The sequence below is a fragment of the Homo sapiens genome, chromosome 18 (genome assembly GCF_000001405.40).
Source record: "Homo sapiens chromosome 18, GRCh38.p14 Primary Assembly".
Lineage (NCBI taxonomy): Eukaryota > Metazoa > Chordata > Mammalia > Primates > Hominidae > Homo > Homo sapiens.
In genome coordinates, this window is record NC_000018.10 from 36,897,205 (window position 1) to 36,925,059 (window position 27,855).

Below are 27,855 nucleotides of genomic sequence, written 5' to 3' on the forward strand. Positions count from 1 at the left end.
GCTATTGAGCATCTTATTTTCTTGAACCCTCAGGCTTATGAAGAGCAGAGCCAAATGGAGAAAGAATTCTTCCATCAGAACATCCCCAAGCAGTTTTTGAATTTGTAAATAAATGTGGCCTGGAAAATCCAGGCATCTAAAGATAATGCTGGGTTTCAATTAAACCGGTCAGTTTTTCAAATAGTTGTTATAATGTGTGTGTTTATTTTTTTGGTTGTATCTATGAGACTTTGTTTCACACAAAAACTGATAAACACAGGAAAAGTGTCAAGAGGCAAAGGAGAAAAGAAGATGAGAGAGAGAGATAAAACCAACAGAAATGGAGGTTGGATATAGTAATTGCCCTAGTGAGAAATTTGCATGGGAGAAAAGTTGACAATAAGGACAGCCTATGATATGGTGACACAAGAGAATAGTTATTAGTGAGTTCAGAGAAAAGTTTCCAAGTAGCCACCTCTGTCTTACTATAATATTCCCAAGGCATCAGTGAGACAGGCTAAAACCACAAGGACTAGTTCAGCAGTATAGAGGAAAATGGGGTGAGAGGAGGCTTTAATATGATAGTGAGCTTAATCATTTAGAGATGTCACAACATTTAGAAGTATATTCTTTGTATAACGTTATATAGTAGCTTGGCATGGCAGAGAAGTAATTTGATGTATTGCTAAGGCAGCTTTTTCCCCCACTTATTAAATTTAAAAAAATTATATGGAAAGCCCTATTGGTAAATCTTTAGTTAATTACAAATTGATGTCTCAAATATGATTTATCTCAATGAAATAAGAAGCCAATAGTATTTTGGAAACTGAACTATTTATCACACAGGTTTATCAAATGATCCAAAATATGTAACTGTTTTAGAATTATGAAGTTCTATGAAAATATAAAGATGATAAAATATTTTCTTGGCCTGAAAAAATTTACAGCATAAAAAGTGGATGTGAAGACATATTTGATATATATCTTTCAAATGTTATCTTTTATTTCAGATGTTATCTTCTATTTGAAGATTTTTGTTGTTTTGCCTTTAGAGTCCTCATTCAGATTTCTGTTGCCTGAAAAGTAACTAGCTTTCTGGTTTTTGAAAAGATAATATGCTTTTTGAAGCAAAAAGTTTTTTTGATTATTTGAGGAGCATCCCTTTTAATTTTCTGAAGCAGTTGTAAGGATGTTTGTTGCTAAAAATAAGTCAGCTAGGAATTGCTAAAGAGTCTTAGCATCATGTGTTCTGACAAGGCATAGAAGAGATCTCAAGGAAAATAATGCAGAAATCAAGCTGAGAAGGCTCTGATTAGATGGAACCAACTTGAGAATGTTTTATGAAACTATATCAGGATCAATCTTCCTTGCACAGATAACAGGAAAGGCCAAAGTGACAGTATTCAAAAAAAGATATATGTTTATTTCTTATTCATATAAAACTCATCTGCTGCCAGCAATTTTAGGCTGGTATAGTGACGCCGCAGATTATAGGGAGCCACACTTTTTTAAAGTCTTGGCATTTCAAGCTTCACCATGATTTGCAATTCTAGTCAGCAGAACAGAGTCTGTTAATTTTGGAAAGTTTGTTCTAACTTTGATTTTAATTTTGTTTTTCCATTGTTGAACTTAAAAACACAATTAAGTTTTGTATGTTGATTTTATATCTTTTGACCTTGCTAAATTCTCACTTATTAATTCTAATAGTTGCTTTACACATTTCTTAGGATTTTATTTGCAGTCGTGTCATCTGCAAATGAAAATAATTTTAGTTCTTTTAAATCTTTATGCCCTTTATTTGTTTTTCTTGCCTTCTTGCAACACCTCCAATTAGGTATTAACTGGAAGTGATGAGAAGAGAACATCTTCATCTTGTTCTGTATCTCAGGAAGAAATACATATTTCATCTTTAAGTTTGATGTCACCTGTGGGTTTTTGGGTTTTGGTAGATGCCTTTTATATCCCATTGAATAATTTCTCTTTTACTCTTAGTTTGCCAAGAATTTTTGTTCTTGTTTTTTTGCTTTTACTAATCATGAATGGACACTGATTATTTATAGCACTTGACTTTTAGTATATGTTTATTGTCTGTTTCCTTCATAAGGCATTATTTCTGTCTTGTACACTATTGTATACTGAGATTCTAATACACTACCTTATGCTCAGTATGTAGTCAGTAAATAAATACATGTTACGTGAATGAATTATTAAATCAGAGTTGCTTGATCAGAAAAGATCTGACTCAAGAGAAAACTTGCCCGTTAGTGCTGAATCTGCATAATCTGACACTCTACTGCCACCTGGTGATAGTATATCTAAATTGCAATAAAAGCTTCTCAGGAGGTGAATAAGCATGTGAGCTAAAACTGCAAATGATTGGACTGACGTGGCAATTATAATTTAAAAATATACATATACTCATGATATGTATCTGGACTGCATTTGAGATTTAGCACATATATTTCACATTTAAAAGATGCTGAAATGTTTTCTGTTTTCCTGACTGCTAGGAAAGAATGAAGTGGATCAGTTAAATTACATATGTTAAAGAAATAGAATAAATTGGGAAAGTTGGCAGAAGTAGAGTAAGAGCAAAGGCACATTTTCTATATTTGAATTCCTGCTCTGTAAGCATTTTCTTGCTGTAAGGTGCTAGCTAAATTTTAATTTTAAAGAACAAGAATTTTTAACTTCTTAATATCTTGTATTAATATTTAATATATTGCAAGAAAATCCAGCTTGTGGCCAAGAATGAAATTTAATGCTTGTTCTTAAAAATTAAATCCTTTAGTTACACAGAATTCACTGAGATTTAAGTGTAGAATACAATGGGATTTCTGTTATATTAGACAGTTTCTTGGAATGAAATCATCTATCATCTACACTGTTATGATTACCACTATATACTTTCATTTCTTAGCCTCTCTCCGAAAAAACAAACCATGTGCCAAATATATGTTAGTAAAAGTTTTTAGAGATGCAATTCAAATATTAAAATTTTCTTATTGGTGTTAAAATGGTCAATCTTGTAAAATGTTGATAATTTTACATAAAGGTTAGCCCTTCTCATGATCAAAATACCCTGAGATGATAGTGTTGGAAGTACTGTTTTAGTAATAAAGATTATCATGTGGGTAAGTTCCCTACAAGGCCCATGATGGTAATGCCCCTAGATTTTGTCTTCAAAGAAAACTGCTGAGAGGCAATAATTTTTTTTGTATGTGTCCCATTTTCATTAATGCATGGTAATTGATGGAGTTGCAGTGACTTGTAGCAGTAATGAGTTCTAAACATAATAATGCACTCTTTTCTAATAAGTGAGCACTGCTGGTGTTTAAGAGCATACTAAATCAGTTGCTTTAGTATGAATTTATTAGTTTTTTTCAGCATTAGTTTTAATAGTAGTTATTTACATAAGCGTACATCCCATTAACCGCCATCAGGGCTGGAAAACATGCTGAACTGTTCATATTTTCATATAATTATTGAACATAATGGTTTCATTTGCATTTCTAAACAGTGATGTTTCTGTCAGCCTTGGAAATAGTGTCTTTACGCAGTCCCTATTTCACATCCACTTATTTGACATCGTTAAATTTTATGCTAATGTGCTTCCCTAGAATATCATCAGTAGGACAGATGCTTGTGCTTTAATATACAAATCAGGGATGCTTTTCCATCCCCTAAATGGCAAAGGAAATTTTAAAAAATCCACACTTTTAGATACAGAGCCTGTCTCTATATAAATGGGTTTATGAAATAAAACTTCCACGGTTAAATGTTATAATCTGGTTGTCTCTTCAAAATGCTTCATTATGAATAACTATATACCTGACTAGGTTTGGTTTTGTTGTCTTGAATGAAGAGGTGAATCTTGATAAATATCATGTTCCTTATGAATATTTAGAGTTCTGCTTCTGAAATGTTGATCTTGAGATGCGAGTTTTTCAGTGGCTTTGAATATGTCGGGCCACAGTGTTAGTTCTTAAAGTATTCTCTATATTTTTGTTTCTTTAGTCACTTAACCCTGATTGTAATACCTTATGGTGGAAGCTGTTATGTTAATGTTCTTGGGCATCTTAGCTTTTTGTTTACATTTAAAAAATGTGTATTGTAAAATTATGAGTCACTTGGTGGGGGAGGCATGTCAAATGTGACAGCAGAACTAATGTGGAAGGATAGATTTATGGCAAAACTCTCTGCCTTTTGGAGCACTATCAGCTTGTCCATGTGCACTATTAGCTTTTGTTTCTCCAACACTTGTGGATGCTTTTGTGAATGCTGTCAGTCAGATGTCTGGAAAATTTTAAACAAGAACCACCAACTAAAGAATTGTTTTGAGAGTTGATTCAGATCTTTTTGGCAGTGAGACAGTGAACATGAAGTCACTGCCAGTTTTTGGTCTTTGTGGACCTTTTCCTTTCTTATGTCTGACAGCTCAGGGCGGCATTTTACTATTGACTCTTAATGGACCTGCAGTGCTATAGCTGAGTCTGCACAGTTCAAAATGCAAGGTTGGCAGTCTAGAAAGATTGGGTAAAGAAGCAGCTTTGAGAGGAGTTCCTGCCCCAAATTACTTGCTAAAAATATGTTAGAACTGATATAGCATAAAACTGATACAGCATAAAAGGATTATTTGGATAGAAGTGTTATTTGGCTTAACAGGTCAGGAGGCAACATAATTTTTGCAGTGACTTCTGTTTCTTGAGGAGTTGCCAGGCAAGAAATATGATAAGGATTTTGAAGAAACTACTATAGAGGTGGAGTTTCATAGCTGTTTATTTTTATTCCAGATTTTTCATTTTTTTCTCTATAATCTCTTAAAATGGTCTGAGATTAGCACTTTTCACAGTTGTTGAATCTTCTGAACTATCATGTTGGAAACATTGGATGTGCTCTTCTATCTAGGGAAAAATGTAGCCTTCATTTTTGCCACATGTGTTGCCAGACCGGACATCATATGAAAGTTGCAAAAAAAAAAATTCTGAAAATCCAGCCTCACTTAGAAGTGAGGCAATATTTTCATCTCTTTATAAAGCTATTTGTGATTGCGTTCTTCACCAACAATTTTTTTTTGCTGGAGGGGTGGTGGTAGGGGCAGTTTGCCACAAAGCTGAAGAAACGCATTCTGTCACCAAAAAATACCATTTACATTTTTTCTCCCTTTACAGATTTCTTCTTTTTCTGGAAAAAAGTTTAACATTTAAATGAAAATTTCATTTGCCTTTTTAGTATTAACGTGCCGTGATATTTAGTCTAACAACTTGTCCCTGAATATCTCTGTTGCTGTAACACTTTACCACCTTCAAGACAGCAAAGGAGGTGTGTTTTAAGTGCTATGCCACTGGTTTTCAATCCTTGACCTCAGAGGAAAAAATAATTCTACATTATGTTTTATGACAGCTTCTCTGTATGTTTTTTGTAAAGTTAAATATTCTAGACAAAGTCAGGTATTATCCATAAGATATCAAACAATTGGGAGAACTTTACCTGCTTGGTTATATTTATTTCCTCTTTTATAACCAGGGAAACACAATTACCACCTCTTTTTTAGAGATGATGAAAGTGCTTAGAAATAAAGCTCCAGCACCCTTAAATGCCTGAGCTCCACCTATTCTACAAGGCTGTGGGGACTCTTTGGCATCCTCTGTGTTGCATCTTTTCACTGAAACTTTAATTTGAATATTTGATTTTTCACCAAATGTATTTTCTTTATTTTTTCCATTGTTAGGATAATTACCCTTAGAATTCTGTAGCTTCTGGAGATATTTACAAATATATATCTGTTAATCTTTCCTTAACTCTATGCCTAGTGCTAGTATTTAAGGACATGGGAGCTTAGGGGCTACTTAATAATTAATGCCTTATTCAATTAAAAAATTTTAACCTGTGTTTTCCTGACTTTAAAAAAATACATGTTTATCATGGAATATTTTAGAATAATATAGAATATTGCTTCATTCCCAAATCATCAGTGTGTGTGGTATATTCATGTTTTTCATTTAATCATCACTGTAACAGCTAGATGAATAACAGTAGGTCTCGTTTGACATTACAGTGAAAGTTGAAGTTTTCAGATCTCTTGCCTTGAATTTTGTACCAATTTTATTTTATTAAAGGCAGAATATTAAATATCTGTTTAAAATACAATGGAAAAAATCAGCCAAGAGAAGTTTAATGCCATGTATTTAAAATAATTCTTGCCAGTTCAATTGCGAAAGTTCTCTGCTCAGTTTTGTGGTTAAATGATTAGGTCTTTCCAGTGGGGAAGGGCAGAAGGACTGAAAAGAAAGGGAAATGTAAAATTGAGGTGACTTTAGGGGAAATGTTGGGAATAGAAAATTTCCATGGAGTTCATTTAGTGCTTCAAACACCTGTGCTCTGCTAAGGCAGGTAGAGAACTCTGTATTGTGTGCAAATCACTGACCTCGCTAAAATTCCAGTTTCTTCTCTGCAAAATGAGGAGTAAATAATAGTATTCATTCCAGCAGGTTTACTGTGGAGACTAAATGAAAGAATGAGTATTAAATGCTTTGTACCATGACTAAGCACATTAGAATCATTCAAAAAGTGTTATTTATTTTCTGTCATTGACTCTCCAGAGGTGTGCAAAGCTAAAGTGACCCTGGCATCTTTACTCTTTTTCCTCCCATCTTCTAGTTCCTTGCTATTACAAGCATAGTCTATGGGTTTGCAATGTCAGCATCACCAACAATATGGGGAGCTTGTTAGAAATACAGATGCTTAGGCCTCATGCCAGACTTCACTTTTTCAGAATCTGTGTTTTAATAAGATCCCCAGGTGATCTGTACATTGAAGCATTGTTTGTACTCATTTCTTGGAAAAAACAATGTAAAAGACATGGGCAGTAGAGAAATATATCCTTTTGCTTTTGCTTTCTTTTCTAAGATCTCACAAATTTGTAGCTTTGGATGATGATGGGATGTGGAGTCTATTCTATTAACATGTATATTGCTGCTATTATTACCGTTATTATCATAGCATTATATTTGCTGCTATATTAACATAGCATAATATTAATGGAAGTGGATTATCCTGAAATTGTCAGAAGTGTGGTTCAAAGCTTCTATATGCATATTGATTTTCACCTACTTGTTGTATCAGTTATTGAGAAAGGGGTATTAATATCTCTGAGTGTAATATATTTGTGGATTTATCTATTTCTCTTCACAGTTTTGTCTTCTTATATTTTGAAATTCCATTTTTAGATGCACAAAGTTTGAGATTATTATCTTCTCCTAATGAATTCACCCCTTTATCATTATGAAATTACCTTGTTTATTCCTGGTAATATTCTTTGCCCTAAAATCTACATTACCTAAAGTTTATTGACCTACTCTAGCTTCTGATCAGTGTTATTATAGTGTATCTTTTTATATGCTATAACTTTTAAACTAATTGTGCCTTTGTATTTAATGTGCATTTTTTATAGCCAGATCATACATGGTTCTTGCTTTTTATTCCAATCTGACATCTATACTTTTAATTTGGATATTTAGAACACTTACATTTTATTTGATTCTTGATACAGTTAGGTTTGAGTTTGTTTTAGTTTGTTCCATTTGACCTTTGTTCCTCTTTTCCTTTTTTTCTGTGTTCTTTTGGATCAATTGAATATTTAAAATTTTCTATTTTATCTCTTTTGTTGGCTTATTAGCTATGGCTCTGTTCTGTATTTAGTGGTTGCTGTAAGGCGTATCTATACACCTTTAACAAATCAATTAACCTTCCAGTGATGGCTTATACTACTTTAGCTACTTTATGATAGTATAATACTATTTTTCTCTTTCTGATCATTGTGCTATTATCAAGATACATTTTAATTTTATACCCGTATTTTATTTTTATTTTTGTTAAATAATTATCTTGTAAGGAGATATTTATTTATTTATTTATTTATTTATTTATTTATTTATTTATTTATTGAGACGGAGTCTTGCTCTGTTGACCAGGCTGGAGTGCAGTGGCATGATCTTGGCTCACTGCAACCTCCGCCTCCCGGATTCAAGTGATTTTCCTGCTTCAGCCTCCCAAATAGCTGGGACTAGAGGCATACACCACCATGGCATGGCTAAGTTTTATGTTTTTAGTAGAGATGAGTTTCATCGTGTTGGCCAGGCTGGTCTTGAATTCCTGACCTCAAGTGATTTGCCTGCTTCGGTCTCCTGAAGTGCTGGGATTACAGGCGTGACCCACCATGCCTGGCCTTGTAAGGATATTTAAATAAGGAAAATAAATTTACTTCCTGTGCTCTGCATGACTTTGTATAGTCCACATTTTTGTTATTCCTTCTGTCTGGCAGACTTTCATTAATAGTTATTGTAGCTATGAATTCATTGCTTTTGAATTTACAAAAACGTCTTTATTTTGCAAGTTGTACTTTTCTGTTCAATTTTTAAAAAAATGTTGCTCCACTGTCATTATACTGTCATTTCTACCAATGAACTGAGTTACCCTTTGTTCTACTGACCACCTTCCTTTTTGCCTCCAGATACAGCCCATCCACTGTCTTCCATATCTGGAAATTATTGGGCAACATCTCATAGTGCTGACAAGTGCTCACATTATCATGATGGCAGATGGAGATTGATGACCAGAGTGTTAAGTTGGCAGCTAAACATGAGCTCAGATTGATGTCTTCAATGCCAATTAATTTAGACATGGATTATTTTAGCTTTCTTGCCTTTCTTGTCTGTAACTTCTCATTCAGTGAGAACCCTGCCTCCCAACTTCTGCCATCTATTTAATTGCTCAGTGCCAGTATAGGTTTATAGTGATTTTAGAATTATTAACTCATATTTACATGGGAAACAACTTATAAACTACAGTGCTAATGTATACTTCCTTCTACCTTTAGTCTTACTATCACCATTCACTTTTTAAAGTTAACTTAGGTCAACAGCTTTCCTCCCCTCTTTCAATGAGGTTATTACATACATTTGTAATATAGCTAGTAGTTTGTATTCCACCTTAGAATCCTCCAATCTCCTAAATGATTTTTAAAATATTTTCCTACACTAAGATTCACTTTTTTGCAGCAAAATTGTGTTTTAACAAATACAAAGTGTTATGTATTCACCATACAGTATCATACAGAACTAATCTACCACCTTACAATATATTCTATGCTTCACCTATTTAACTCTGCCTTCTCCCCAAGCCTCAGTCAACTTCTGATTTATTTGGAATCTGTATAGTTTTTGCCTTTTGCAGAATGCTATATAAGTGGAATCATGCAGTATTTAGCCTTTTCAGACTGGCTTTTTAAACTTAGCAATATGCATTTAAAATTCGTCTATATTTTTTCATTGCCTAATATTTCATTTGTTTTTAAGAGTGAATAATAGTCCATTATATGGATATACCATAGTTTGCTATTCTACTTTTATTAATTTTTAATTTTTGTGGTACATTAGTAGATATATATATTTATGGGGTACATGAGATATTTTGATATAAGCATGCAGTGTGTAATAATAATGCACTCATTTATTAAAGCACATCTTGGTTGCTTTTGGCTTTTGGTAATTATGAAAGAGCTACTGTAAACATTCATGTGCAAGTTTTTGTGTGGACATAAGTTTTCCAATCAGTTAGGTAAATACCTAGGAGCATGATAGCAGAAGTGTGTGGTAACACTGTGTTTAGCTTTGTAAGATGCTGTAAAATTTTGATTGAGATTGTGTTGAATATATATATCAATTAGGGAGAATTGGATTTAATATTGAACTTTGCAATTCATGAATGTGGTACATCTCTCAAGTTATTTAGATGTAAGAAGTTTCTTCTGTGAGTGTTTTGTAGTTTTCTGCTTGCAGACCGTACGTCTGTTGTCATATTTTATCTACTTTTCTTTGTATTTTTTGAAGATTTCAGACCCCAAATTTTCATTCCTGGTATAAAGGAATAAAGTTGACTTTTCTATGTTGATCTTGTGTCCAATGACTGCTAAAGTCACTTTTTAGTTTTATGAGGTTTTTTTTGTAGATTCTTTGCAGTTTTTATGTGAGCAATTGTGTTATCTGTAAATAAGGACAGTTTCATCTTTTCCTTTCTAATCTGTATGCTTTTTATTTCTTTTTCTTGCCTTGTTGCACTAACTAGAATTTCCAGTACAATGTTGAGTAAAAGCTGTGGTAAAGGGCATCCTCTTCTTGTTCTGGATCTTAGTGGAAAAGCAAATTACTCTCTTACCATTAAGTATGATTTTTAGCTATAAGTTTAACATAGATACCTTTATTTAGATTAAGGAAGTTCTTTTCTATTCCTAGTGTGCTGATACTTTTTGGTTACAAGTGGATGTTGAATTTTCTTGAAAGCTTTTTTTGTGTAAATTGATCTGATCATATAGTTTTGCTGATGATTAATTTTTGAATATTAACCAGCTTTGCATTTCTGGGCTGAAGCCCACTTGATATTGAAATGTTATCCTTTTATGTGTTACTGGATTTTATTAGTTAATATATTGTTAAGAATTTTTGCTTAATGAGAGACAGTCATTAGTTTTCTTGGAATGACTTCATCTAGTTTTGTAGCATCATAGTGCTGGCCTGAAGGAATGAGTTGTGAAGCATTTCCCCCTCTTCAATTTCCTGCAAGAGTTTGTATAGAATGAGTTTAATCTTTTCTCTTAAATTCGTGTTAAAATTTACTAAGAAACTCTCTGAGCCTGGAGTGAGTTTTTTCCCCTTTCTAATGGAAGCATTTTTAACTACAAATTCGATTTCTTACAGGCCTTGTATGGATTTAATCCATATGGAACCACTCAGATTACCCAATTTTTCTTGAGTAAGCTTTGGTAGTTTGTCTTTCAAGGAATTTTTAAAATTTTATCATTGTCTTTATTTATATGTCTCAAGTTGGAGTAATACAGGAATTTAAGAATTAACTGAATTGGCTCGTTAAATTATATCAGTTTTAACTAACTTGCAATAAAAACAGCAAATTTCTTTCTAACTTAAAAAAGGAATGCATAAAACTTAGTTGTTTTCTTCTTATGGAGGAGTTGCTGTTTGTCATTTCTTAAGCTTTGTGTCCTGTAGTTGACTAGAGGGAGACATTGTTCTTAAGACGCTAAAGTAATTTATTTTTATTTATTTTAGCAACTTACAGACAATTCAGCTATCTGGAACATATAAAATTTTTTTTGTTTTCATGACTGGGTCTTGCTTTGTCACCTAGACTGGAGTGCAGTGGCACAATCATAGCTCACTGCAACTCTAGCTCACTCGCTCAAGCAATCCTCTCGCCTCAGCCTCCCAAGTAGATAGGACTACAGTTGCGTGTCACCACACCTGGCTAATTTAAATTTTTGTGTGTGTGGAAAGAAAGGTCTCACTGTGTTGCCCAGGCTGATTGAACTTTTGAGCTCAAGCAGTATCCCCTTCGGCCTCTCAACGTGCTGGGATTATGGGTGTGAGCTACCGCACCTGGCCCATGAAGATTTTTAATAGCTAATTATTACCATGTTATTGCAAACTAACTTGGGAGACTGTGTGACCAGTGTGAATATATTTATCTAGGATTGCAGAGCAGAATTTGCAGCTGTGTGAATCCAGAATATATATTACCTATTATTTGTATACAAACATAAAATTGTGAATTATTTACAATAAATTATGTTAATTGAGCAGTTCTCCCCCTTTTTATAATGTACAGCATTATGAAATGAACATTATTTATAATTTAAGTTCACAGAAGAATCCCTGTTTTCAAAGCCAAATTGGAGTAAGCTTTCTTATCCTAGGCTTACTTAGTAGTGCCAGAATTGAATCAGAGTCTATGTGGTACATTTGGTCCCAGTTCTTTTTCTGCTTCCTATATCAAATTTTCCACATGGCTTTGAAGATTCATATATTTACCCTTCTGTTGACTTTGAGTATAACTTACTCTGACCAAATAGAATAAAGCTGAAGTGATAGCTAATATGCTTTTTTTTATTATTATACTTCAAGTTCTAGGGTATATGTGCACAATGTGCAGGTTTGTTACATATGTATACATGTGCCATGTTGATGTGCTGCACCCATTAACTCGTCATTTACATTAGGTATATCTCCTAATGCTATCCCTCCCGCCTCCCCCCACCCCACGACAGGCCCCGTTGTGTGATGTTCCCCTTCTTGTGTCCACGTGTTCTCATTGTTCAATTCCCACCTATGAATGAGAACATGTGGTGTTTGGTTTTTTTGTCCCTGCGATAGTTTGCTGAGAATGATGGTTTCCAGCTTCATCCATGTCCCTACAAAGGACATGAACTCATCCTTTTTTATGGCTGCATAGTATTCCATGGGTGTGTATGTGCTGCATTTTCTTAATCCAGTCTATCATTGTTGGACATTTGGGTTGGTTCCAAGTCTTTGCTATTGTGAATAGTGCCACAGTAAACATATGTGTGCATGTGTCTTTATAGCAGCATGATTTATAATCCTTTGGGTATATACCCAGTAATGGGTTGGCAGGGTCAAATGATATTTCTAGTTCTAGATCCTTGAGGAATCGCCACACTGTGTTCCACAATGGTTGAACCAGTTTACAGTCCCACCAACAGTGTAAAAGTGTTCCTATTTCTTCACATACTCTCCAGCACCTGTTGTTTCCTGACTTTAATGATCGCCATTCTAACTGGTGTGAGATGGTATCTTGTTGTGGCTTTGATTTGCATTTCTCTGATGGCTAGTGATGATGAGCATTTTTTCATGTGTCTGTTGGCTGCATAAATGTCTTCTTTTGAGAAGTGTCTGTTCATATCCTTCACCCACTTTTTGATGGGGTTGTTTTTTTTGTGTAAATTTGTTTGAGTTCTTTGTAGATTCTGGATATTAGCCCTTCGTCAGATGAGTAGATTGCAGAAATTTTCTGTAGGTTGCCTGTTCACTCTGATGGTAGTTTCTTTTGCTGTGCAGAAGCTCCTTAGTTTAATTAGATCCCATTTGTCAATTTTGGCTTTTGTTGCCGTTGCTTTTGGTGTTTTCGACATGAAGTCCTTGCCCATGCCTATGTCCTGAATGGTATTGCCTAGGTTTTCTTCTAGGGTTTTTATGGTTTTAGGTCTAACATTTAAGTCTTTAATCCATCTTGAATTAATTTTTGTATAAAGTGTAAGGAAGGGATCCAGTTTCAGCTTTCTACATATGGCTAGCCAGTTTTCCCAGCATCATTTATTAAATAGGGAATCCTTTCCCCATTTCTTGTTTTTTTCAGGTTTGTCAAAGATCAGATAGTTGTAGATGTGTGGTATTATTTCTGAGGCCTCTGTTCTGTTCCATTGGTCTATATTTCTGTTTTGGTACCAGTACCATGCTGTTTGGGTTACTGTGGCCTTATAGTATAGTTTGAAGTCAGGTAGCGTGATGCCTCCAGCTTTGTTCTTTTTGCTTAAGATTGTCTTGGCAATGTGGGCTCTTTTTTTGGTTCCATATGAACTTTAAAGTAGTTTTTTCTAATTCTGTGAAGAAAGTAATTGGTAGCTTGTTGGGGATGGCATTAAATCTGTAAATCACCTTGGGCAGTATGGCCATTTTCATGATATTGATTCTTCCTATCCATGAGCATGGAATGTTCTTCTATTTGTTTATGTCCTCTTTTATTTCGTTGAGCAGTGGTTTGTAGTTCTCCTTTTTAAACCTGTGCTTTAACAGGAGGCATTGAGTGTTTCTGCTTGCCCTCTTGCTTTTCTGTCATCGTCATGAGAAATATACTCAGGAAAAGAATGAAGAGTCTGAAACTAATCCACCTCCTAGCTGCCCACTGTAGATATGTGCTATATATTATCAGTACCCCAAAGCTCCCCTTGTACCTCCTTTCAATCACTACTACTCTCCAATGGTGGCTTTCCTGACTGACGACCCACAGATTACATTTTACCCTCTTCCCTTTTGCATCCTCCGTTTGGCAGAAATTCTGAGGGAAAATTAGCCTTATGCTGGAGGCTGCCCAGATCTACCAAAAGCCCTCTTAGTTTTATATACTATCTTATGATGAAAAGATAACTTTATAAGACAGTAAACTAATGCCTAGGTTTAGTTTATAAAAATTACTAGAATCACCTTACAGTGATTCCTAAGGTCTTGGCATTTTTAGCCTGTTATTCTACCTCTTCTATGAGAATACTCTAATTAGGAATTCGAATTGTGACTATGAATTCTTGTTAGCCATCAAAAGGCATGACATTCTTTACTCTAAAATACTTAGCTTTCCGAGGCAGGAGAGAATACTAATGAGTGTTTAAATAAAAACAGACCTTGGTTATATATCAATTAACCAGATTTCTATTTTCTCTTTAGGTTTAACTTTCTACTACCTCAGTGTAACCTTGTACAAAAGCATTCCATGTAGAGTACCTGCTTTTTTAAACTACTTTACTTTCTTACAGAGTAAGCCATCTGCTTTCTAAAGCATTGAGACAAGAAACACAGACTCAGTGAAAAACATACTATGAAGCCATGTAGTATAGTGCTGGAAAAAAGTACAAGACCTACTTAGATTCAACGCAAGTATATATTCCTTTTTAGCTGCATGAACCTGATCAAATTACTTTTTAAAGCCACAATTTATCCCTTTATGGTCTGTGGATATGTAACAGCTTCGACCTTATACAGTTGAGATTATATGCTGTAACAAATGCATGTAAAGGCTTAGCACAGTGCCTGGTGTGGCATAAGCAGTCAGAAAGAGCTCCTTGACATTATCATTATTATAATTATTACTGTTACTGTTAAATATTTTACTGGGAATAGGAAAATCTAAGCAATTTTTGAAGGCTTTACTGAGTGAGAAAAAAATACTTATTCTTTCTCCATAGTTCTATACATTTTAAATTTTAATATTCTTTAGTTGATTATTGCTAAGACCTTGAAACACCCTTTTCCCCTTCAAATCTCTGTTAATCTTCAAGTTAAAATTTTCTGTTTATATGCATTCTTGAAAGTATATGTATTCACTTCCTATTACAGTATCAATTACCACAAATTTAGTGGCCTAACACAAAAGAAATTCTTATCTTACAGTTCTGGAGGTCAGAAATCCAAAATCAATCTCAATGGGTTAAAATCAAGGTGTCAGCAGGACTGTTACCCTTCTGGAGGCTCTAGGGAAGAAGTCTGTTTTGAAAATTCCTTTCTGTCTCTTCTTCAGGCTGCCCATATTCCTTGGCTCCTGGCTCTGTATCACTTCAACATCTAACATCATCACATCTCCTTTTCTGACTCTCTTTTTCTTCTCTATTATAAGGACTCCTGTAATTACATTGGGCTTACCCAGATAATCTTCTCATTCCTAATTTAATCACATCTGCAAAGTCCCTTTTGCCAAGTAATGTAACATATTTGCAGGTTTTGGGGATTAGGATGTGGACATCTGTGGGTGTACCGTTACTCCGCCTGCCTACCACAGTCTGCCTTCTGGCCCCCAGAGATTTATGTCTGTTCTACATGCAAAATATATTCACCCCATCCCAACATTCCCAAAGTCTAATGCTGCATTCCCATTGCAGCATCATTTCAAAGTCCAAAATCTCTTTTAAATCTTATCAGCTCAAAAGTTTCGAACCGTATGAACTCAATCATCTAGATTAGGCATGGGTGAGAGTCTGAGAATGATCTTTCCTAAGGTACAGTTCCTATCTATCTGTGAAATTCTGAAATTCAGACAGGTTATTTGCTCCCAAAATGGTGGGGCAACGATGGGATAGCAATTATAAACATTCCCGTTCAAAAAAGGAGAAAATAGAAGGAGAAATGGAGTTACCTGTTTTAGTCAATTTCATAATCCAGCCTGGGAAAAACATCCTCTGTGATTTGAGGGTCCACACTTGTGGGCTCAGGGCTCTGCCCTTTAGATCATCCTTCCTTTTTCATGAAAGGTGGCACATGTTTGTGGCTGAGCAGTTTCATCAGCCTGTTTCCTGCCTGTGGTATTTTGGGAGTCTGAGAGTCTTTTTTGAAATTTTGTTTAAAATTTTGTCTTCTCTTTCCCCCTTTCAATTTAAACTGGCAGTGTTTCTGTTTATGTAATGTTCTGAAGAACTTTTGGGGCCTAGTACAGTGGCTCATGCCTGTAATCCCAGTGCTTTGAGAAGCCAAGGTGGGAGGATCACTTGAGGCCAGGAGTTTGAGACCAGCTTGAGCAACATAGTAAGACCTTGTCTCTACAAAAAAAAAAAAAAATTTTTTAAGAACCTTGTAGATTTTCTGTGTATGTTGGGGATTCATTTTTTTTTTGATAAGAGGCTCTTCCATAAATCTTTCCTGGATGTACAAAGGCAATTACAACCTTACACACACACACACACACACACACACACACACACACACACACACTTAGAGGAAAGCAACTGCCTACACACACACACACACACACACACACTACTTAGAGGAAAGCAACTGCCTGCCCAACCTTGGACTAATAGTCATCCTTGTTATTGATCCTTGTAGCCAAGGATTATTGTCTCCAAACAATTATGTAATCCTGCTCATTTTCCCTTTAAAAATCTTTTTTCCTTTACCTCTGTGAATATGCACATAGTTTACAATGGCATGTGTATTTCCATTGCAATGCCCTATTCCCAAATAAATATAATTTTCTTTTATTGAGCCTCTTTCTGTTACTTAAGTTGACAAATGGTGTCAGAAGTGGAATCTGAAGAAGGGTCACCATCAGTGTTTTCCTGTGTTTTTACTGAGTTTTTGACCATCAGTTGCTTGTGTGCTTTGTGATTTTATCTTTTGGAATTTTTTGAGGCTTGTGATTAAGGTAGGTTTATCCAAAGTAGATTTGAGTTTTTTTCATGTACTTTGTGGATGCTGTCATGTGGTAATCTCTGTAATCTAGATTGTCATCTTGTACCATCTAAGTGGTATAAATTTTACCTGAAAATATACAAGAAGGAAGGCTCATAATAACAAATTCTTAGGGCGATTTGTGTGGCCACTTTAGTTTTTCATTTTCCTACCATACTATCTGTAAATATAATACAGATGGAGTGAAGAAATGCAAGAAACAAAGCCTGCTCAGCTAAATCTATCTCTTTTTTGTGTGCCATAGCATATAAACATGTGTTCCATAAGGGAAGGCGCTGTGATAAGACAGCAGAAAATCTTGGACCTGGTGGGAGAAGAGGATTAGGTATTAGCTTTAAGTTTTGATTATCTTAATAAAAACCTCAAGGAATTTTATAAAACAAAAATAAGAAAACCTCCCAGAAGTAAGTGAGTTTAATAATATTACAGGATCCAGGGCCGGGCGTGGTGGCTCATGCCTGTAATTCCAGCACTTTGGGAGGCTGAGGTGGGGGGATCACAAGGTCAGGAGTTCAAGACCAGCTTGGCCAACATGGTGAAATCCCATCTCTACTAAAAATACAAACATTAGCCAGGCGCAGTGGCGGGTGCCTGTAATCCCAGCTACTTGGGAGGCTGAGGCAGGAGAATTGCTTGAAACCAGAAGGCAGAGGTTGCAGTGAGCCGAGATCATGCCACTGCACTCCAGCCTGGGCAAAAGAGGGAAACTCTGTCTCATTTAAAAAGTTAGATAAAAAAATATATATATTACAGGATCTAAGAAAAACATACAAATATCTATCACAAGGAAAAATTGGAAACTGAAATTTTAAAAATAGCACCATTTATGATACTTTACCTCAAAATGAAACAGGTATTAAATATACAGAGAATCTGTATGCTGAAAGCTACAAAATACTTATGAAAGAAATGAACAGATTGACTACATTCATGGAGTAGAAGATTCAACATAGTGAAGATGTTAATTATCCTGGATTGGTAAGGAGATCCCAATCAAAATCCTAGCAAGATTCTTTGCAGCTATTCACAAGATGATTCTAAAATCTTTATGGAAAGTTAAAGGAGCTAGAATGCTAAAACACTTTTTTAAAAGATGAAAAAAGTTAGAAAACTCACACTAACCAATTGTAAGGCATACTGTAACACTACAGTAATCCAGTACAGTACTGGTGAAAGGACAGATCCATAGATTAATGGAGCAAAACTGAGATTCCAGAACTGGACCCATGCAAATATGGTCAGTGGTTTTGACAAAGTTGCAGTGGTGACCTGGCTTATGGAATATTTTCTGATATGAAACCAAAAGTATGATACATAAAAGAAAAAACATGATTAATTGGATTTTAGTTTTATCTTTGAAAGATACTGTTAAAGAGAATGGGGAAAAAAACTATTCTCCCGTAGGTTGGGGAAAAAGAATTTTGCAAATTAATATCCAGAGGTATATTCAGAATATCTAAAGAAGTCTGAAAACTCAACAATAAGAAAACAATCTAACAAAAAGGCAAAGGTTTTAAGTGACACTTCACCAAGGACAGCATAGTACGGCAATAAACACATGAAAACATGTCCAACATCTTTACTCATTAGGGAAATGCAAATGAAAACTACAATGAGATAGTATTATCTTACACACCTTCTAGAATAGGTAAAGTAAAAAACAATATTGACAATATTAAATACTGTCAGGGATGCAGGGGAACTGAAATTCTCATATGTTGCTCATGGTATACATATACAAAATGGCATGGCATTTTAATAAAACATTTGGCAGTTTCTTATAAAAGTTAAGCTTATTTTTTGACTCAGCAATCCCACTCCTAGGCATTCATCCTACAGAAATGAAAAGTTATGATCACACAACATACTCTAGAAACATGTATATAGCAGCACTATGCATAATTGCCAACAATGAAAACAACTCAAATGTCTTTCAGTGAGTGGGTGAATACAAACAGGTAGAGCCACTGTTTCTGATAAGTGTGTCCCATTAGAATTTATCACATCATTTTTCACTCATGTGTAATGTGTTGTCTTTTCAATGTATGTTTCTAAATGTAGTTTTGTTTTCTTTGTGAGGTTCACTGAGCTTTTTGAACATAAACATTTATATCTTTCAACTATTTGGGGTAATTTCAGCCATTATTTCTTGCAGTATATTTTCCAACTTTTTATTTTGCTTTTCTCACACTGGGATTCCAATTTATATATATATGTACCTGCTAATATTGTTGCAAAATTCATTGAATCTGTTTATTTTTAAAATCCTTTGTCTTTCTGTTTCTTAGATTAGATGATGCATATTGATCTGTCTTAAAGCTCACTGACTCAATCTTCTGACATCTCCAGTTTTCTTTTTAGAAGCTTTTTCAGTGAAATTTTTCATTTCAGATATTGAATTTTTCGATTTAAAAGTATCCATTTTGTTATTTTTATAGTTTTTCTTTTTCTGTTCAGATTTTCTTCATCTGTTTATTCTTTATGAATATAATTATAGTAGCTACTTTTAATCTCTTTTAGATAACTCCAAAATCTGGGTCATTTTTGTTGTTGTTTTTTATTTTTTAAATGCTGCTACCATTTACTGATCACTTGTACCAGTCATTGTCCTAAGCAATTTATAGAAATAAACCCATTTAATCCTTACATGTGGGTCAGGAGCTATTATCATCTCCATCGTACAGATAAGTAAGGAGGCACAGAGAGGAAAATTCTTTCCTGACAGCAGTTAATGAATGTGGTTTCTTACGTATTTGTTAAAACAGCTGCCATTTTTTATTTGTTTGTTTGTTTAGAGACAGAGTCTCGCTATGTTGCCCTTGCTGGCCTTAAATTCCTGGGCTCAAGTAATCCTCCCACCTCAACCTCTCAAGTAGCTGAGACTATAGGCATCTGCCACTGTACCCAGCTCACTTCATTTTTTTTTTTTTTTAAAGAAAAGTGATGGAGTCAAAAGGTCCACTATTAAAAACAAAACAAAACAAAATTCCCTAGGTTAAAAAAGCAAAAACAAAAAAAATCTTAGCATCAGAGTCCACTGGGTTAAAAATAATGAGAATAAAAAATCCCTGCTCATAACATCCTCCTTCTAGAATGGTTGGAAGGTCAGAGCATTTTTATAACAAAGTCTTTCATTTCCATTGATTTCCTTCATGGGTCATGTTTTCTTGTAATTTGGAATATCTCCTCCATATTATGAATGACATATTGTAGACAGTTTATATTCTGTTGTAGTCCTCTGAAGAGGTTTTTTTTGTTTTGTTTTGTCTTGTTTGTTAAGAGGCAGGGTCTTGCTATGTCACCCTGGCAGCTCAAGCAATCCTCCTTCCCCAGCTTCCCAAGTATCTGGGACTACAGCTGTGTGCCACCACACCCAGCTACTTAAAATTTTTTTTCTTTTTAGAGATGGGGTCTCACTATGTTGCTCAGGTCGGTCTTGAACTTGTGGCCTCAGACAATCCTCCTGCCTCAGTCTCCTGAGTAGCTGTGATTATAGGCTCAAACCACAGTGTCAGGCCTCTGAAGAGTTTTGAACTTTGTTTTGTTTTGCCTGAATTCAAACTCCAAACTCTTGTTTTCTGAAATTGGGCAGTAGCTGAAATTTTTTATTAGTTCATTTAGTCCTAACTGAGCTGCCTGGAGACTTCTCTGTGTATGTATATGCCAGACAGAGATTTAGACAGAATTTAATATATAGGATTTGTGCAGTTCCTTTCTCCTTCCTTCAATATCCCACCTCAGTTTCCATCTGACATTGTCATCCTTAACTCTGTTTTCTGATTTAACAACAGATAAGACTGTTTTTATCTGAGATTTAGCCTTTCTGCTCAGGATTGACTGAGGCCTACACTCAGGCAAAAAGTCATAAGAATGAAAAATTCACCCACTGTCAGTCCCTTCTAGTTGGCACCTCCCCTCCCATTTTTCCTGTTTCTGGCTCATCTCCAGCGATTTTAGACAGTTGTGTGTTTTTTTTTGTTTTTGTTTTTTTTAAGAGTTTTTATGTCTAGAGCTCTAAGTTGTTTTCTATGGGAGGATTGGTTCAAATATTGTGAGACGACTTCATCATTACAGGAAGTTGGACTCCTGTTATTTTTCTTTTGATTTGTGTCATATCTGTAGTAACACATCCTCTTTTTGCCTTATATTGGTAATAAATATTCCCCCCCTTTTTTGTATCCAATCAGTCTCTGATTTTTCCCCTTTTCCATCAGTCTTGCAGAGTATTATCAGTTTTATTTATATTCAAAAAGCCTTCTTTTGACGTTCTTACTTTTCCTTCATGTTTGTTTTTTATTTTCTTGATATCTGCTCTAGTATTTATTTCCTTCCTTCCATTTACTTTGGGCTTAATTTGCTCATCTTTTTCTAGCAACTTAAGATGCAAATGAAGATCATTGTTTTTAAGCCTTTTTTTTTTTTTTTTTGAGACGGAGTCTTGCTGTGTCGGCCAGGCTAGAGTGCAGTGGTGCAATCTTGGCTCACTGCAACCTCCGCCTCTTGGGTTCAAGCAGTTCTCCTGCCTCAGCCTCCCAAGTAGCTGTGATTACAGGTGCGCACCACCATGCCTGGCTAACTGTTTTGTATTTTTAGTAGAGACGGGGTTTCACCATGTGGGCCAGGCTGGTTTTGAACTCCTGACCTCAAGTGATCCTCCTGCCTTGGCCTCCCAAAGTGCTGGGATTACATGCGTGAGCCACTGCGCCCGGCCTTTCTATATTTTTAATAAGCATTTGAAGATATAAATATCCATTTAAGCTTTGCTTTAGCTGTATCTCACAAATTATGAAGTACTATATTTGCATTATCATTCAGTTTAAATTATTTTAACATAATTTATTCCTTCTTTGATATGAGTTATTCTGAAGTATATTGTTACTGATTTTTTACTGTTATTAACATTTCTTTGTGTTTAGATACTCTGTATAATTTTAGCCTTTTAAAATTTAGTGAAACTTGTGTTATGGCCCAGTATGTAGTGTATCTTGATGAATATTCTCTGTGCACTTGAAAATAATGTATATTTTACAGCTGTTGGGGTAGGGCTTTCTAAATTTAATTGTCAGTTGCATTAAGGTACTTGATAGTGTCATTTGAAACAATGTTACTAGGGTTTTATTCCTTTATTATTATTATACATATATGATCTATTTTATCATCATGAAATTTTCCTCCATACTTGTTAATACTTCTCATGAAATCCATTTTGTTTGATAGTAATATGGTCACAAAACTCTCTTATGGTTATTGTTTGTACAGTATGTCTAGTTTCATTCTCTATACTTGCAACTTGTCTGTTTTATTTTCAGTGTATCTCTTATAGACAGCATATAGTTACATCTTGCTGTATGTATGTGTGTGTGTATTTTATGGGGGTTGGTCTTGCTTTTTTATACAGTCTAACAATTCCTGCCTTGTGATCATGAGTTCTTAGTCTGTTATACTTAAGTACCACATTTTCTTTATCCAGTCCACTGTTGATTCCATGTCTTTGCTACTGTGAATAGTGTTGCGAGGAACATAGAGTGTTGCAAGTACATGTCTTTTTGTTAGAACGATTTATTTTCTTTTGGGTATATACCCAGTAATGGGATTGCTGGGTCGAGTGGTAGTTCTTTACTTTAAGTTCTTTGATAAATCTCCAAACTGCTTTCCACAGTGGCTGAACTAATTTACATTCCCACCAGCAGTGTATAAGCATTCCCTTTTCTCCACAACCTCACCAACATCTTTTATTTTTTATTTTTATTGATAGCCATTCTGACTAGAGTGAAATGATACCTCATGGTTTTGATTTGCATTTCTCTAATGATTAGTGATGTTGAACTTTTTAAAATATATTTGTTGGCTGCATCTTTGTTTTCCTTTGAGAAGTGTCTGTTCATGTCCTTTGCCCATTTTTAAAAATGGGGTTATTTGGCTTTTGCTTGTTTAACTTCTTAAGTTCCTTATAGATTCTAGATATTAGACCTTTGTTAGATGCACAGTTTATGAATATCTTCACCCGTTCTGTAGGTTATTTATTTACTCTGTTGATAGTTTCTTTTGCTGGGCAGTGGTCCCACTTGTCAATTTTTGTTTTTGTTGCAGTTGCTTGTAGGAACTCGGTCATAATTTTTATGCCAACGCCAATATCCAGAATGGTATTTCCTAGGTTTTTATCTAGGATTTTTATAGTTTGAGATCTTATAAGTCTTTAATCCATCTTGAGTTAATTTTTGTATATGGTAGAAGGCAGGGGCCTAGGTTCATTCTCCTGCATGTGGCTAGGCAGTTATCCCAACACCATTTATTGAATAGAGAGTCCTTTCCCCATTGCTTATTATTGTCAACATTGTGGAAGATTAGAGGTTGTAAGTGTACAGCTTTATTTCTGTGTTCTCTATCCAGTTCCATTGGTCTATGTGTCTTTTTTTTTGTGCCAGTACTGTGCCATTTTGGTTACTATAGCCTTGTAGTATAGTTTGAAGTCAGGTAGTGTGATGCCTCTGGTTTTGCTCTTTTTGCTTAGGATTGCAAAGTTTAGTCTTTGTTCACACAATCATTTGGAATCAATGTGGGTCTTGCATTAAAGCTTTATTAGAATGTGTCCAGGTCAACCTTTATCCTGGGGCTAATTTAGCCCCATTTCTAAGATATGGCCTCTCTGAGGACCCTATCAAATATCTTGTGTATTACATAGTTTTTGTACTCTGGCTGATGACAGTGCTACCTGGTTTTGACCCTGTGTGAACTCTGGCAGTTGTTCAGCCTTCTGCTTTCCAGTGTTTTTTTTCATTGGCCACAGGTGTTTCATTCCATAAGTATATGGATTAATACTCAGCCAAAGATGAGAGCATCCCTTTGCAGACCCTCAGAGCTCTCTGTGCAGCTTTCCCCTCTCTAGTACTCTGCCCTGTGAAGTCTAGCTAGCATCCTTAGCTTCCATGCATGCCAGTCTCTCTGCGTAACTCAGCAAGACCACCAGGTTCCGTTAGTATTTCCTTTCACTGTGCTGTGGCCTGGCAACTGCCTTTAGGCAACAAGCTGGGATGATCGAGTCACCCAATTTTTTTACCTTTTCTCTGGCAGCATATCCTCCTCTGTCCTTTCTCCAACATCTGGAACTGTTGTTTCATACATTTTTTTTTCATTTTTCTAGTTGTTTATAGCATGAGGACAATTCTTGTCCCAATTTATTCATCTTGGGTGGAAGCAGAAGCTCCTGAAAAGACAGTATTTATGGTCATCATTACCAGAGGGTTATTTTTTTTTTTTTGTAGGTCAGGTTGAATGAAATTCTAGATATATTTTTACTTTAAGCCATCTTTGATTTTAAATTTCATAAATTAACAACAGAAGATGAATTAGAGAAGAAAAATAGCCTATAAAATTAGGAGTTATACTTTTCTTTACTTATTATTTGTTTGTTTGTTTTTGAGATGGAGTCTCGCTTTGTCACCCAGGCTGGAATGCAGTGGCGTCATATCGGCTCACTGTAAGCTCCACCTCCCGGGTTCACGCCATTCCTCTGCCTCAGCCTCCCAAGTAGCTGGGACTACAGGCGCCCACCACCACACCGAGCTAATTTTTTTGTATTTTTAGTAGAGACGGGGTTTCACTGTGTTAGCCAGGATGGTCTCGATCACCTGACCTCGTGATCCACCCACCTCAGCCTCCCAAAGTGCTGGGAATACAGGCGTGAGCCACTGTGCCCGGCCTTTTCTTTACATTTTTAACAGACATCCAACTTACAGATTTACTATGACTTGTGTGGTTCATTCTCTTCACTATCAGAATCTTCCAAGATTCATATCAGTTACTGAATTTTGTCAAGCTCCCTAGTTATGGTTGTGTTTTATTCTAAGAACCCACCCCTAGTACTTGCTTTCCCTTATTCTCATATTTTAAAGTACTTATTTCAGAAGTGGTTTGGGAATTTTTGAAAATATTTTTTTTTTTGAGACAGAGTCTCGCTCTTGTCCCCCAGGCCAGAGTGCAATGGCACGATCGTGGCTCACTGCAACCTCCACCTCCCAGCTTCAAGCAATTCTCCTGCCTCAGCCTCCAGAGAATACTTTTTTTTTTTTTAAACAAAGACAACCTATATGTAGCTAGTCAAGTCATGGCACTCCCTTTTAATTTTCTCTTGAAGATTACCTAGATTTTAGCAGGATAGGAATAGCATTTAATACTATTCTTAGGTTTTTCCAAGTATTAATGCCGTTGTCTTTGTTTGCTGTGTCTAGAATGTAGTTGTCTCCCTCTTGACCACACAATTCTTAAGTAGGTAGGCTCTGCCTTGTCTTCCTTTTATTTTGTGTATGGTTCCGTACTTGAACTTGATTCAAACATGTCTATCCACCTTCCCCAATACCATCTCTCAGTTGGCAACTTGTTCTGGCTCTTTAACTGAAGCATGTAGTTGATATGCTGATTTTTTTCAATAATAGATTTTATATTTGGGTATTCCCACATCATCATGGGAAATTTTTTGAAGAATCCATCATATTAAACATTCTTTCTGGTTCAGTTATTGAAAAGTTTGTTTATATTTTGCCACAGGGGTTTGTGTGGTTTTATTGTAGGATGCTTTTTTTGTTGTTGATTCTGATTTACTTGGCTGGCCTATGAATGCCATTCTGAATTGGTTACTAAAAATGTTTATATTTAGACCTGGACAGATAATTTTTTCTTTCGTTTTATGAGTAGCTTTTTAAAATAAAAAACTTTTTAACTCAACAGAAGTCTAAAGAAGGTGGATCATTTAGTATTTAATGGGGAACACAAGTGTTGAGGTAATGAGTATATGAGATATTCGAGTTTCATTTTTCAAGTTACTTAGGTTAGAATTTTTTTTCGTAGTAGGGATTATTTGGGGGTCATTTTACGTACTGCCTTGAGAAGAGTCTTGGTGCCTTTTGTTATTAAAGTATTGCAATAGGTAATGTTTGCAAGGTATTACAATATATTGATACACTTTAATATTATATATAGTATTCCTCCATGTCAATAAGTATTGAAGATGTTTATGATTGATTTTTTCCTTTAATTTTTTCTTACTTTTCACTTCTTGACTTCATACATCAAAGAAGAAATCCAGAGTGAAATTAGAGAGTATTTTGAACTAAATGAAAATGAAAACACAACACAACCTGCTAAAATTACTTAGATGTATCTAAAGCAGTACTTAAAGGGAAATTTTACCACTGAAATCCTACATTAGAAAAGAAGAAAGGTCCCAAATCAGTAAAATCAGCTTTCACCTTAAACTAGTAAAAGCAAAACAAATGAAACCAGAAGTTTACAGGATTATAATAAGGATCATGGAGGAAATCAATGAAACAAACAACAGAAAAGCAATAGAGACAATGAAGCCAACCTGGCTATTTGAGAAGATAATAACATTGTTAAAATTCTGTCATATTAATCAGTCAAAAGAAGAGAGAAGACAAATTACCAAATTAGGAATGACAGAGGTCTCATCTCTACAGATTCTATAGATCTTAAAAAAAGGGGATTATTATAAGTAACTTTATACATATAAGCTTTACAATTTACATGAAAGGGATAAATAGATAAGTTGATTTGTATATCATTAAAGAAATTGTATTTGTAGTTAAAAACCAGCAAGCGAAGTGTAAAGAAAAGAACATTCTAGACAGACAGACATATCCCAAGATACACAGAAATACCAAGCATAGAGCTACACTGTATAGTATGGTGACCACTAGCTATATGTGACAATTTAAATTTAAATTAATTATAATTCAGTAAAATAAATTTTGTACCTGTTACATTTGCCACATTTTAAGTTATCATTTACCTACATGTGACTGGTATTATGTAGAACATAAAGAACATTCACATCAACAAAGTTCTACTGGACAGAGCCATCATAATGTGTTTAGGAAACTTCAGGAGTTCTGATTTGATGAGAGTGTAGGTTGCAATGGTGAGATGGAAGTTGCAAAGGCAAGTTGGAAGGGAATTATGCTGGAAGGGCAAACTGATTCCAAACCATTGAGTGTCTTCAGTGGCAATGGTGTTTGGATTTACCCTAGGGGACACCAGCTAGGGTAGAGAGGTGATTTTTGGTTTTGGTTAGTGACGGTAGATGCTGGTAGGGTAAGTTGATCTGATTTGTGTTTGTTTGGTTTTGATTAGTGAAGGTAGATGCTGGTGAGTTGATCTGATTTTGAGTATAATATTTTGGAATATTATACTCAATATAATGTTTTGAAATAATATTTTGAAATAATATTTCTGGGGGCAGGATAAAAGGTAGATTTGAGGGGTGAAATCAGTATTCAGGAGCTCACTCTCTAACAGCCAAGTTGTCCAGATGAGAGTGGTGGTAAGGACTAAGCTATAATGAGGCAATGAGCATATAAGGAAGGAGACATTTGAATGCTATTTAGAGGAAAAAAAGATAGGAGGATTTGATGTGGGAGCTAACAGAATCTGAATGACCCTGATTTCTGGATTGAGCATATAGAGACAAGATAGGACTTATGTGGGGAAAAGCAGACTTTGAAAAGAGAAAACGAGTATGACTATACATTTGGCCACATTATCTTTAAAGATAGGCCCAATTTAATTAAGAGTCTGGAGTTGGTAAAACTCAGGATCAGATATGTGCTTTTGGGCATCACCAGAATATAGTTGGCTTTTTGAAGCTTTGAATTTGGATAAGATTGCCCAGAGAGAATATGCAGCATGTACAGATCAAAGCCAAGGACACACCCCAATATTTATTAGGTATAGAAAGATAGGACCTTAGAATAAGAATGAAAATGAGTAACTAGAGAAAAAAAAATAAAGAGTGGTTCCCAAAAGAACCCAAAGAAGATAACATTTCAAGGAGGGTTGCTGGTCCAGAGAAGTCATATAAAAGAACCATAAGCATATATTGGATTTGTTGAACAGGAAGTCATTTGGGACCTTTCAGAAGTGTAGTATCCTGAAACACCAAGCAAATTCAGACCTTCATGCTGAGGTGAATTTGTAAAGGGTCATTGGGCGTACCCTTTGGGAGAACTGATACGGCCTTCAGACCTGTAAGTTATATTTGTTT

At 35.2% G+C, this 27,855-nt stretch overlaps 1 protein-coding gene and 1 long non-coding RNA gene across 20 annotated transcripts in view; one reads left to right on the forward strand and one right to left on the reverse strand.

Annotated features, from left to right (window-relative positions):
- Positions 1–27,855, forward strand: part of KIAA1328 — a 403,046-nt gene that overhangs the window by 68,078 nt on the left and 307,113 nt on the right. The window contains exon 1 of one of the 19 annotated variants that reach the window (XM_017025881.2): positions 1–27,838. The exons of the other annotated variants lie outside the window; for them this stretch is intronic. The gene's annotated coding sequence lies outside the window, so the exon portion shown is untranslated. The remainder of the gene's footprint in view (positions 27,839–27,855) is intronic. 19 annotated transcript variants of the gene reach the window in all.
- Positions 4,741–26,610, reverse strand: LOC105372069 (uncharacterized). The gene is made up of 4 exons (NR_134585.1): positions 26,570–26,610; positions 23,857–24,003; positions 6,407–6,484; positions 4,741–5,163 (listed from the first exon to the last, which is right to left on the reverse strand). It is a non-coding gene; the product is annotated as an uncharacterized LOC105372069 (long non-coding RNA).